We start from the raw sequence: 13,931 nt of genomic DNA, 5'->3' as shown, positions 1-13,931 counted from the left end.
CCCTTTCAATTGACTCCGAGTAGCTGGCACTGCCTACCACAGTCCCTGGGCTGCCTGCTCGGGAAATGGCTATAATTTAAGTCACAGCGGAAACACTTCTCAAACCACTCTCCCAGAGGGCGTAGGAGCCACACTTCCCATGACAGGAAGGGAAGCTGCCCTAGTCCTTCTAACTGTTAAAGGAAATAGACAATTTCCTTATGGTTTCTTCAACATTTCACTCCCCATAGGATTGGTTTTACACGTTTTTTTGCATGAGTCAGTCTCTTTGGGTAAAGTTGAAGCTTGTAAAGTTGTCCTTCCCATTTTCAGCTCTCCCAAATGGTGGGTAAATCTATTCAGGAAATCAGTGTGTCTTCCAAGGGGGAGAAAGGCACAGACTTAGACCTGCCAGGCTGCTCTCTGCATCCTCATAGGTCTGTGCTGTGAAATGGTTGGTCTAGATTTCTCCATGGACACAAGACTGCTGGCCATTTGGGGCGAGATGCCCCGGTAGAGTCTGGCCAAGTCCACTCATTACTTGAGTCCAGCGGACTTCAGTTATGAAGTCAACACCAGAGGGAGCCTCTTTGTCTTGTCCCAGCTTTCACCAGCCCCCGCTCACACCAGCCCCCGCTCACACCAGCCCCCGCTCACACCACCATTTCCCATCACCAGGACATGCAAGAGCTTTCGTGTCCCTTCTAAGACACACAAGATATGAGGTGTCATGAGCCTGCTCCAGAATCTTCCGGATTTTCGCCTGGAGGGTAGAAGTCAGAGAGGTACATACAAAGTCTCATTTCCTGCTCTATTCTCTCTCTCCCCTTCTTCTTCCAACGATTCCAAGGCCTGAGGAAGAAGGGGGCAGGCTTTTCTCTTTTTCTATGTCTTATCCTGAGTTCTGTCATCTTTGGGTATATAGCAAGCAAGGCTCTAGCCCCCCAGATCTGACTTCCATGTTAGAAGAAGTTAAAGGAATTTGAAAAATTTGAAAAAAAAATACCTTCCTCTCTTGTAATCCCTGTTTTACAAAATTTTTCACTTGCTAATGAGGATCTTCTCTTCTAGTGAGTCCCATTCTTTCCTCTCCTGGAGCTATGACTCGACCTTGCTGGTAAAAATCCTACAGGAAAATGTGCTTAAGTACATTACCCCTTAATGGGTAAGGAAATATATGAGTTTATTATGTGCAAAATATTTTCCCTGCTATAGGAGGCTGAGTAAATACTAATTACAGAAAGGCACATGTGAAGCCTCTTGGTCTGTAGACACCTCAGTGTAGCAGCCAGGCAGGCCTGTGGCTTTCTGTATCGGCTCTGACGATCATGATGTAAGTTGTGTAAGTATTGCTGTTCATGTACTCAACAGCAAAAGAAAACCTAACATTTAAACAAGGTCTACAGAAATCCTTTATTGTTATTGTTCTGAATAATATATGCTGTATACTCATTAACATATTGTTCCTCCATTGAATATTAATTTATCAGAGGGAAAAACCACTCTGCCAACCATTAATGTAGGTGAAATATCTTTTTCTTGTTCTTCCTTGGCAATGGGGTTGATCTGCACAACTCAATATAAAATCTGCTGATGGAAGTGCACAGGGCTATAGAAGCAACTCTTTCATTTGATTTAGTGTTTCATGATAAACTAGACCGAACCATGAATTAGAAGGATTCATTAATCTCTTCTCAAATGGATTTTCCCTCCTATTTCCTCCATTACTAGACCAGATCCCTGCTTCCCTTCGAGTCTAAACCTCCAAATGAGTGTTAGATAAGCTGTCTCCTGTTCCTGGTCTCCTGTTTAATCCACTCTTACCTGGTTCCCTTCCCCACCTTTTGGCTGATTCCTCATTAAGATCAAGGCCAATAATGACCTCCTGGATACTAAAACCAAAGAAGACTCTCCTGTAGCATTCACCAACTTTAGACACTGGGGATCATGCCCTTCATACTCATGCACTGCTTTTCCTCTGGGTTTGTTTGACACTCTTGGTTTTCCTCCTACCTCATAGGTGGTCCCTTTTTTGTTTCTCACTTGCTTTTTCTATCCTTCCAGACTATTTATTTATTTATTTTTGAGACAGGGTCTCAATCTGTTGTCCAGGCCAGAGGCCAGAGTGCAGTAGTGCGATCTTGGCTCACTGCGGCCTTGACCTCGCAGGTTCAAGCAATCCTCCCATCTCTCAGCCCCCCAAGTAGCTGGGACTACAAGCATGCACCACCACAGCTAGCTAATTTTTGTATTTTTTGTAGAGATAGGGTTTTGCCATGTTGCCCAGGCTGGTCTCAAACTCTTGGGCTCAAGTCATCTGCCTGACTCGCCCTCCCAAAGTGCTGGGATTATAAGCATGAGCCACCATGCCCGGCCTCTACCAGACGTTTTCAAGTTAAAAGTTATCCAGAACTACCTCCTGGGATCCCTTTTCCATTCTTTAGATATGCCAAGGATTTCATCCATTCTTATGCAATCTAAATTGACTGTAAATGGATTTTATCCATTCTCATTCAATCTAAATTCATGATTCTAAAATTTGGGGGCACATAAATTTCCCTTGGAGAAAGGGCGAAAACTGTAAATCATTTAACCTTTTCTGCTTGAATTCCTTCTTCTATACTCTCCCTCATACCAGCCTCCCAAAATGTTATGATGGTAAAATAAATCATAACTGAAGAGAGCTCTAATCAGAAAACACACGTACTATGGTGTACATCCGAAGTGAAAGGCCAGGGCAGGAAACTGTGAGCTCTCAAGAATTTTCCATGTAACCTTGGACACGTCGCTTTAACTTCCGGAGCCTTGAATTTTAAACCTCACAGGTGTGACATAATTGTAGTTTTAATAAAAGGTCGAATGTGAGTTCTGCCAGATGGTATTACATTTTCAAAGTCTGAGCAACTTTTTACTTGTTTGGGGATGGTGTGAAGGGGCAACATTGGAGAGAAATGTTTCCTACAGAAAATAACATTTAATCTGGAAACTGCTGTTTACCCCAGCATCTATTCTATTTCACTTACTGCTACATAAAACTTTTAGAGGAAAAAAAGTGGCCCCTGTAAAATGGAGTCAGGTGTTACGCTTAGTATTAGCTGTGAGCTAGTACTAGCAGCAGGAGGTATGTTACGTTACAGCTGAGGCAATTTTAGGTAGAAGACATTGCTGAGGGGGCTAGAAAAATGTTGTCAATGCTAGGTGTAAGTTTTAGGGGACTTTTCTGTTGTCCTTAAAACATTTTATACTGAGGGCCTGAAAGTTCATAGATCAACAGAGCAGTACAGGCTCTGTCTAATGGAGGAAACAGAAAAAAAAGCTTTAAAGAAGGTAATTTATTTCAGTAAAAAGTTTCATTTTGTTTTTAAAGGATGGGTAATAATGTTTCAACCATGGAAAGCTGCAACAGGAACTCCAGATAAATACTGGGAAAACCCTGTACCATGAAAGAGGGTAAGGTTTGTGCCAGTGGTATGCCGGTAAATGATTAATATACGGCTCTCCTGGAAAATGAAAGGGCCCAGTTTTAGAGATTGTTGATTTTCAATGGTGTAAATACTTGCCCAGAGCCAGTCTCAAAGTAACAAAGTCGTGACCTTGAATAAGGCGTTGGGAGGAGGTGTACAGTAGCAGACTGTCAGAGCCACCACTACCGATGGTGCGTAGTAGATGTAAAGATGCAAAGTACCTAGAGAGCACCAGCAATAGTGAGAGCACCGGCAATAGTGAGAGGTATTAAATTATTTGTAAGTGAGCCGGGCATGGTGGCTCATGCCTGTAATCCGAGCACTTTGGGAGGCTGAGGCGGGACGATCGCTTTGAGCTCAGGAGTTTAAGATCAGCCTGGGCAACATGGCAAAACTCCACCTCTACAAAACTAAAAATAAAAAAAAATCAGCCAAGTGTGGTGGTAAGCCTGTATTCTCAGCTACGTGGGAAGCTGATGTGGGAGGATCCATTGAACTGACCTCGGGAAATTGAGGCTGCAGTGAGCCATGATCGCTTCACTGCATTCCAGCCAGGAAACACAGTGAGACCCTGTCTTAAAAAAAATTTAAAAAGTGCTTCAACAAAGCTCTAGGAAAAAATTGGTAAATGATGAGTTATGAGTATTTGTTACATTTGTTTTGAATAAATTTATTTCATTGAAAGTTTATATAATTTAATTTGTAGTAATGGTTGTGTTGAATAACCAGGTCACAAAATCCCTGAAAAATTTTAAAATGGACTCTTATGAGCTTAGATAGTAAGCTCCAGCTCACCACTGGTTTGTCTTCAAAGAATAAAGGAAAATTAATATTTGCTTAAGCAATATTTAATTACATTCGAGTTCTGTGAGGTGGATACTTTGGTTTAGGTATTTTTTATACCTGTTACTATTCTAGAACCCTATGTTATCTATCACTATGCAAGTCAAAAGCAGTGATTAAAATCACCAGATGCTAGGTAAATAGATGATAGTTTTCTACAGAATTTGTGTGAGCTATGTGTGAGAGATATACTTCCTTTATGGACTGAATTGTGTCTACCCCAAATTCATATATCAAAGCCCTAACCCTCAATGTGATTATATTTGGAGACAGGATCTTTAATGAAGTAATTAAGGTTAAATGAGCTCCTATGAGTAGGTCCCTGATCTGATGGGGCTGGTGTCCTTATAAGAAAAGGAAGAAGTGCCAGCGTGTGCATGCGCTCTCTCTCTCTCTGTGCATGTGCATAGAAAGGCCATCTGAGGACATGGCAAAAAGCCACTGTCTGCAAACCCAGAGGAGAAGCCTCCCCAGAAACGAATCTCGCGGGCACCTTGATCTTAGACTTCCAGACTCCAGAATTGTGAAAAAATAAATTTCTGTTGCTGAAGCCACCCAGTCTGTGACATTTTGCTGTGGAAGCTGAGCAGAGTAACACAACATGCAAATGATGAAATTACATACAGTTCCACAAGATGCAAGTAACATGATACTCGCATCTCAGGCTTTTTCATATTGTCATGAGGAAGTCCTTCTTATCTGCTCCTCTAGGTCTCAGCTCAGTGACTGCCACCTCTGTGAAGCCTTCCTTGGTTTCCTCAATTATGTGTCAGCCTTTCCTCCCATGTAAACAGCTCTTTTATAATGATGAACATAGTCTTTTGTCCCAGTGCAATCCTTTTTGACACAACGGTGGATTACACATTAGAAACTAAGATTAAGCATGTGGCTGTTTATATTTATATTTAAATATAAACAGTTAAAATAAAATAAAAAATTCAACTCCTTAGTTGCATCAGCCACATTTCAAATGGTTAATAACTACTTGTGGCTAGTTGCTACTGCCCTGGACACTGAGACATGGAAAATTTCCATCACTGCAGAAAATTCTATTGGATAGCACTATACTATAATCAACTTGAAGGGGGGAAAAGGGTGCATCTGTGTTTTTTCCCAGCACCTAGCCCAGTGCCTGCTGTGTAGTAGGCATTTAATAACTATTGGTTGAATTAAAAGGAAAAAAAAAAAACACTATTCATTTAATTGTAGCTACTTAAAGCATTCACGGTTCCCAGATGTCACAGAAATAAGCACGCATATATACATTTATTTTACTATTGATAAGTAAAATACTAAATGTGAGCAATTTTCATTTTTTCCGTGACAAGAACATCAATATTCATCATTAAGATATAATTATAGAATTTATGTCTCAGGTGTTAATATAGCAATCTATAGCTGTTAATTCAGAAGCACAATATCGATTCTAATTTATTTTTTTCTAGGTCATCTCTGCACCATCGTTCTATAAGTGACCCTGTGGTCTCATTAAATCTTTCAGCATGATATTTATGCAACTACTTAATGAGTCCTCCAACACCTTGAATTCTCTGGATCTCATAACTATTATTTCAGTGACAAACTTCCGACTTTAATTAATCGCATCCTTCACGGACTCAAAAGAGATCATAAAAAGGTCACTCAGACATACGCAACCCTCTGCTGGTAGACGCCTTCTTTGTCTCCGCATTTAAAGATCTTCAAAGAGACACACAACAGCCCTCGGGAATCTATTTAGGTATTTAGATATTTTTACTTTCAGAAAAATCTCTTTACTCCTGCTTAAGTCTTTCATAATTTAGCCCAAAGCAGTCGCCCTGAATCTAACTGCAGAGGAAAAGGAGAAGACGGTCACCTGTCACAGGTTCCAAAGAAGCCCTTTTCTGTGCTGTGACTGAAACTTAAGGTACAATCTAAACGGAGACGTTTCTCTAGCAAGATATTCCTTTAGAATGCCTAGCATCCTGAGGGTAAGTAGTAGGGCTTCATAAATATTTAAATGAATAAATGAAATCCAAATAAAAAACAATTGCTTAACAAATGAAAGCAGACCCGTTGCAAAGCCCAACGTGTACTCTAACTCCTCTCTTGTATAGTACAGAAGAAGGGTTAGTTAACAAGGATTCTGTTCTAAGGCTGGGGCAAGAGACAGACTTAAGAGGAGGAATGGGAAGAGGAGAGAGAGAAAGAAGACCTCAGGGGAAGCAAACCCACTGAGTCTGTTGTTGAAACAGCATTGACATGTATAAGCCGAATGGCTTGCAAGTAGAGGAGATGAGAGGAAGGAGGAAAGCCAAAGTTGGAAGGAGGTGAGAGTGGGTGAGCCCTTCCTCAATCCTGCTGCTTTAGAGAGGGGAACTATGAGTTTTCAGCAGCCATAGACAGGGAAGGTTGACTCAAAATTATCTTAACCCAACTGTGCAGGCCACACTGTGCCTCAGGTGTCTCCCTTTCCTTCTGCTTGGCATTGCTTCCCCAGCAGATGCGATGAACACGGAAAACAGCTGCCCACCTCTCAGTGACAGAAACTGTGACTAATTGTGGTTTCCTAGAGGTGAGTCCTGTTTTCACAGAGCTGGAGGTTTTCTAAAATCTAGTCCTCAGAGATGTTCTTCTCCCAGAAGTTTGCTAAAAACAAGTGACTTTGAGCAATGTGAACGTGCTGCCTGTGATGTTTAATGCCTTGTGCTGTTGTGATCAGTTTGGGGGTGAAATCTCTGGCACAATTTAGCCACGATCTTGTGGAGGCTGGGCTATGCCACCAGCAAATGAAACAGTGTTTGGTATACATGTGTGGTGTGTATCCCTTCTAGCCACTCAAAGAGATATGCTTCTTTAACAAAGAGGCTCGTCGTCTTTCCATTTTACAGATAAGTATATTGAGGCACAGGTGTTGTACCCTTATTGCTTGTTTATCCATGTCAACATAAGAAAGAGAAGTCACCTACTTTGACATCTAGATCATAAAATCTTAGCTTCAGACATATACTTAGAAAGCTGAAGGACACATGGTGTGTCCAAGGTCTGGTACTTCTTGTCTGACCTTAGTAAAGTTCATTAACCTTTTTGAACCTTAGTTTCTCCAAATGTACAGTGGTAAGAATAAGAAGATAACACATGTTATGTGCTTTAAAGGTGTTTGATGATGCAGTAAGTGCTCCATAAATGCTAATTTTTGTTTTTAGTATTATGTGTCAGAAAAATATTTTGATGCCTTTCTACGGCCTTAAACTGACCTTTATTATTTCAAAGCATGTAGGAACTATGTTTTCTGTTCTTTTGTGTTTTCTATTGAAATTGGCATATCCTAGAATAAAGCAGGCATTAATAATTACTTGGCATATATTTATAATTTTCTAATGTTTCATTGGTGTTTTTAGAAATTGGTCATTCTACAGCTCTTTATCTAAAGACTTATGTATACATAAAATGAGCAAACATCTTTTTTGTTTATTTTATATCTCGCTCTACAGTGATTTGTAGCTATTTAAAAAATGGGTTACCACAGTTAAAAGTATAACTCACCTACTTAGCTTCACCTATTAAGGTCTAGCTGATAACAAGGAATATATTTTTTCACCAATGAAGATTTGCACTCACAAATTAAAAAATGTAAAATTCCAACTATTTATGTGATGACTACTCTTGGGGCCAATCTTCTATCATAATAGAAAACATTATCCTTTGGCAAACACATGACAGCTTTATACCTTTATGTGCTATTCCTTTTTTTTTTTTTTTTTTTTTTTGAGATGGAGTTTTGCTCTTGTTGCCCAGGCTGGAGTGCAATGGTGCAACCTTGGCTCACTGCAACATCACCTTCCGGGTTCAAGGGATTCTCCTATCTCATCTCAGCCTCAGCCTCCTGAGTAGCTGGGATTACAGACACCTGCCACCACGCCCGGCTAATTTTTTGTATTTTTAGTAGAGATGGGGTTTCACCATTTTGGTCAGGCTGGTCTCGAACTTCTGACCTCAGGTGATCCATCCACCTCGGCCTCCCAAAGTGCTGAGATTACAGGCATGAGCCACCATGCCCGGCCTTATGTACTATTACTTTTTATTCATCATTTTGTTTTCAGCTGTAGTGTATGAATGAAGATGTTTAAGGAAAGAACAAGAATGCAAAAAACATTTGGGGAAATATTAAAATTAGTACAAAAATCTTTTTTCCATACACTATTATAAAAGAACGTTTTGTTCTTTTTTCAAATATAAAATGCTATAATGGGATTTTCTTTTTCTGCTTTAGCCACGAGACCTATTTTGACATGAAAAGTGTGAAATATTTATTTTTATGTCATCTTTTATAGTGGAAAGCTAAAGGGACCAAACAAACTAACAATATGATTAAATGTTTGAAGTCTAGGTATTGTGGGGATATTTGTCTCTTTCTTAAAATAAATATTTTTCCCCAGTGGGTATCTCAGTTGACATTCTAAAGGGAATACAAGTTGTGAACACGCTATTACAAGCCTGAAAGAGCACAGCAACAAAAATGCAGCATTTTTGTCTCTATTGCATTTGTTTTGAAAAATAAAACCTAAGTCATGTGTTCTTAGCTCCTCCACCCACTGTCATTTGCATCCCCTGAGAAAATAAGATATTCTACTTGTGGTATTAGATGTTTCACAATAGCTTTAAAAACTACCAGGGCAGGCCAGGCACCGTGGCTCACACGTGTAATCCCAGCACTTTGGGAGCCTGAGGCAGGCGGATCACCTGAGGTCGGGAGTTAGAGGCCAGCCTGACCAATATGGAGAAATCCCATTTCTACTAAAAATACAAAATTAGCTGGGCGTAGTGGAGGGAGCCTGTAATCCCAGCTACTCGGGAGGCTGAGGCAGGAGAATCACTTGAACCCGGGAGGTGGAGGTTGTGGTGAGCTGAGATTGCGCCATTCCACTCCAGCCTGGGCAACAAGAGCGAAACAATGTCTCAAAAACAAACAAACAAACAAACAAACAAACAAAAAACACAAAACTACCAGGGCAGTAACAAGAGTAACAACAACAAAAAAATCGAATGGTGCTCATCACTGATGATTTAAAAGATAGTCTTAACATTTATATCCAAACGAAGAAGAAATTGTCAAGGTCTCCCTGATGCCTTCTTGTAGAAGCCAGAAATTGATATTATATGTCGGTCCTCTACTCACCTTCCAATATGGCCTTCATTACAAGGTAATACAGAAACAAAATGATCACTGTTGAGAGGACATGAACAGAATTCATAGCCATGTTGTGACTTTGTTCTGACATGGCATTCCCTGTGTCCCTCTTTCTAGTGTTACAGGCAGTAGAAAAAAAAAAAAAAAAATCAAAGGCCCAGGCTTGTGATTGGGTCAAAAAGTTAAAATACATTAAAATGCCATGACAGTTGCTTCAAGCTTCTTCCAGGTGCTTAAGCCTGGAGGTAGGAATGTACTACATCCTGGCCAGTTAAAATGTGCTCCCTGGAACTGTGGCAGCATCAACATCCCCTGGGAGCTACTTAGAAAGGCAGACTTTCCGGCCCCACTCAGACATCCTAGATAAGTGTCTGCAGTTTAACAGGATGTCCAAGTAATTCAGATACCCACAAAGGTCTGAAAAGCTCTGAGCCAGAGCAACAACTGATGTCGAGGAAGAGGAATAACTCATACCTCTTTCTCAGTAAAGAGTTATTTTCAGTAATTCTTTGACATGTTTTTAAACTGCATTATTTCACAGATGAACAAATACTTGAAGACAAAAACAGTACAAGTCTCACTGTAGAATTTTATTTTCATTACATTAGAATAAAGTTTGCTTTATTTATAATCACAAGAATGCTTCTTTTTTCTAAGAATTGCACACTCTTTGGAATGGCTTATGCTAGTTTTCTTATTAGTGAAGGGAATATAATAGTTTTCGTGATGCATCTCCTTGGGTAAGTTAAAGTCTGCTCTGATTTTCAAGCTGAAGTTTGCTCTGACAAAGAGCTCCTGGCCCAAGCATCCCTATTAGTGAGATATTTCCAAGAGCTCTTGCTTCTAGAGAATCAGGAAATCACAAGCTGTCCCCATTCACTCTAAATACCATGTGGGAATAAAGTAAATTTTGCTGGACTTCCAAAAGGAGGGCTGTGGTAAGTTGAGGGGAGTGGATTGAAACAGACTCCTTGAGAGTTAACTTGATCCCACTGGATTGTAAGATAATAGGACCACGGGAAAACAGTGTAGTGAGAAGCAGAAATGGAAAAAAAAATGTTTCCAAAGTGGGAATAATAGTCTGAGTGCAAGAGAGAAAATCCAGATTAAAAAGGAAGCCAAATTTGCCAATAGAGAAACAAAATGGAGAAAGAGGAAGAAGACAATATGGAAGAATGAGATTTATGTCAGGAAGAGAGAGCACAATGATGGAGAAATTAATACCAGAGGAAGGCAGAAAGGATGAGGAAATGATCATGGGTGTGGCTGGGAACTTTAGCAGAAAAAAAAGATGGGAATGTAGAGAAAGGGAGGATGAAGGACAAACGAGCAAGTCCGTGATGCCTGAAAACTGGATGGCTACACACCACCCTTCTCTCAAAAGCGACCCCTCCCATCCAGTCCTACCTGGCCGGAAGGACGGTGGTCACCACTTGAGAGCTTGAGGGTTGGGGGGAGTAAAGTTGGGGGAAACAGAGGGATCCTCATGGCAAGTTTCCGACAAGAATGAGGAGGAACCTTCCCCCTGTGTGGAAAAAAAGGGAGGCTGTCATTTTTGTGGCAATGAAATTGATTTCTAAGTCATCTGGTGTTTCCAATTATTTGTCTGGGACGTCTCTTGGAGTGCCTTCTAGAGTACAGTTTTAACTCCTCTGTTTGCCTTTATCTGCTCCAACACCCCCAGTGTGACAAGGCACCTGGCCTCCCACACATGCAATGGAATTGGCATTGAGTTCTCCTCGGCCTCCCCACTCTCTGTAAAAATTAGTTGTTAAAAATGATCACAGCTGTTACTTTTGAGATATTCTCCACAAAATCCCACTACCATCAAGAAACTTGAGAAAAGATAGTGATGAATGATTGACAGCTGTTTGTTCAGTGAACAACACAGTCCAAGGAGTCTGGGCTTAAGGGCACTACTTTTCTCCCCGCAAAGAGCCAGAACTATTTTTTAACATACAAAGTTAATGTTGTTAGCCCTCTACATACATCATGCATTCAAAAAATATTTATTGGACACCAGCTATATGGCAGGCGATGTTCTTGGATGTCTGGAACTCAAGAGCGTCAGGGAACGAAACAGACAAAGCCTCTTCCCGTTGTGGAGCTTATATTCTGATGGGTGGGGCAGTACTCAAGGACACACTTAGGAAAGAAGGGTATGACTGAATGAGAGAAGGTGACAAATGCTATGAAAAACAGAAAGCACAGCAGAATAAACAGGAGAGAGGATGGCAGGGATGGGAGAGTGGTGGAGGGGGGTTGTAAATTTTAATAAAGTGGTCATGGAAAGCCTCTGACAGATTTGAGCAAACATTTGAAAGACAGGAGAGAGTTGCCCAAACAGACACTTGGGAGATGAGGAAACAATGGCTCAAGGTGGGATTCGCCTGTCTTGTTGGGGCCTAGCAATGAGCCCAGTGTGGCCTGAGCAGAGAGTATATCAAGGAGGAAGGGAAGAAAAAATGCAGCAAAAGTGGAGTTAGACTGTATTGGACTTTTAGAGGATTATGGGAGCCATTGAAGGGTCTTCAACAGAGGAGTGACCTGATTTAACTTGTGTTCTAAAAGGATGCCTCTGGGTGACATGTTGAGAATAGATTTTGAGTGTGTACATGTGGCAGCAGGAAGACCAGTTTGGAGGCTACTTAGAAATCCAGGGGAGAGATGATGGAGGCTTTGACTAAAGTGATTGCACTGCAGTTGGTACTCAACAATTATAAAGATGTCTTGACTGCTTTACAATATTTTTTTCAAGTCCTAGGGTTTTTTGGTTCCACCTAAAACACAGACCCAATAAGAAACTTAAGAATTGTAACAGCTCACTGTGTATTTTGCAAAACCTAAGAGTAAGCTTTTTTCTTTTTTGGATAATACGAAAGGTGCAAAGAAAAAGGAAACAAATCTTTCTCAGCCAAAGATAGAAAACAATGTATTTTCTATTCTCTCTTATGTACCAAACACAGGCACATGCTGCTGGCTACTCTCTTTGACACAAATTTTTATATACTAGCATAATTAGATAGGGCGAAATCCATTTTGATGCCAAAATGGTTAATCTGCTAAGCTTCTCTCCAATTGTATAAAGTTGTTCGTGTGTCTGTATAAATGTGTTATTGTGTATATGTGTGTGTGTGTGTGACTCTTTAAAATCTGAAAATATTATTTGAGGAAATTCAAACACCTCCTTGACAAATCAAAGATTAACCTCAACTAATGATTATAATAAACACAGAACACTTGTGTCTGTTGATTTCTGTTGACAGAAAATGTATAAACAGCACTCCAAGTGGTGAATTTGCTGCATGAATATGGCCTTAGATATAATATAATACATGGAAAACAGAGACTGTAATGCTGTTCTTGGCAACTGCTTTCCTATTTGGAAGGAAAAATTTCTTCAGTGTTTTCTTCAGCCCAGTATGCCTGCATTTGCCCTCATGCAATAGCCTTTTCTCTCATCTCCAAGTACTTCTTCATCAAATATCTCAAAGCATCTAGTAGATTTCCTCTTTGGATTTTCTGTAGGTAAATACAGTCATCCCCTTCATATCCATGGGTTCCACATCTGTGGATTCAACCACTTTTGGATCAAAACTATTCAGAAGAACCATAAGTGGATGGTTGTGTCTGTACTGAACATGTATAGACATTTTTTCTTGACATGATTCCCTAAACAATACAGTATAACACTATTTACGTAGAACTTACATTGTAGTAGGTATTATAAATAACCTAGAAATGACAAAGTACATGGGAGAATATGCATAGATTATATGCAAATACTATACAATGTTATATAAAGGACCTGAGCATCTGTGGATTTGGGTATCTGAGGGGAGTCCTGGAACCAACCATCCATAGATACCAAGGGATGAGAGTATTTCTCTTGGTTTGAGGTTGGCCATCTTTTCCCTTTAAAATATTGAAGGTCATAGTTAAATCAGCTATTGGTTTCTAGAAAACAATTAAAATTTTACATTAGTTGCTTTAAAGTGGTTTGGATGTGTGTGTTTGATAATTTTCACTATCCTGGTTATATCAAAATAGGGCTTTAAAAAAAACAGAGATACATTGAGGATTAAAAAAATCTAATGAGTATTAGCAAAATTCACAGAAATCATGCCCAATGACAGGCACACAGAAGTAGAAGTGGAAATAAACCCAAAAGGTTTTCCATCCGTGGTTGTGTGGACTTTTCATGTATGGCAGGTGGGCAGATGAAAGCCAATATGATAAAAGTCCACCTCATCCTATTCCCGGTGTTAAAATCATTGTTTGCTGGGAAGACGCTGAACCCCACCAACATGTAGCCCCCTACTCTAGCAGGTGGGGAAGATTCTCTTCTGAGCCTCTGCCCTCTATCCAGTACATTTATCACCATATGTCCACATTTTCTCATCCTCAAGAAAGAAAAATATGGACAAAGGAGGGGGAAAGAAAGTTGATATGGTAAAGAAAAGGGGGAGGAATCA

General features: G+C 40.2%; 1 protein-coding gene across 2 annotated transcripts in view; it reads right to left on the bottom strand.

Annotated features, from left to right (window-relative positions):
• The window catches only part of PLCB1 (phospholipase C beta 1), a 752,635-nt gene that overhangs the window by 71,864 nt on the left and 666,840 nt on the right, over positions 1-13,931 (bottom strand). The window contains exon 32 of one of the 2 annotated variants that reach the window (NM_182734.3): positions 10,864-10,981. The exons of the other annotated variant lie outside the window; for it this stretch is intronic. Coding sequence (NP_877398.1) covers positions 10,883-10,981 — 99 coding nt within the window. The 3' untranslated portion in view covers positions 10,864-10,882. The remainder of the gene's footprint in view (positions 1-10,863; positions 10,982-13,931) is intronic. 2 annotated transcript variants of the gene reach the window in all.

The sequence above is a fragment of the Homo sapiens genome, chromosome 20 (assembly GCF_000001405.40).
Source record: "Homo sapiens chromosome 20, GRCh38.p14 Primary Assembly".
Classification (NCBI taxonomy): domain Eukaryota; kingdom Metazoa; phylum Chordata; class Mammalia; order Primates; family Hominidae; genus Homo; species Homo sapiens.
This window is presented reverse-complemented; position numbering and strand designations above follow the sequence as displayed.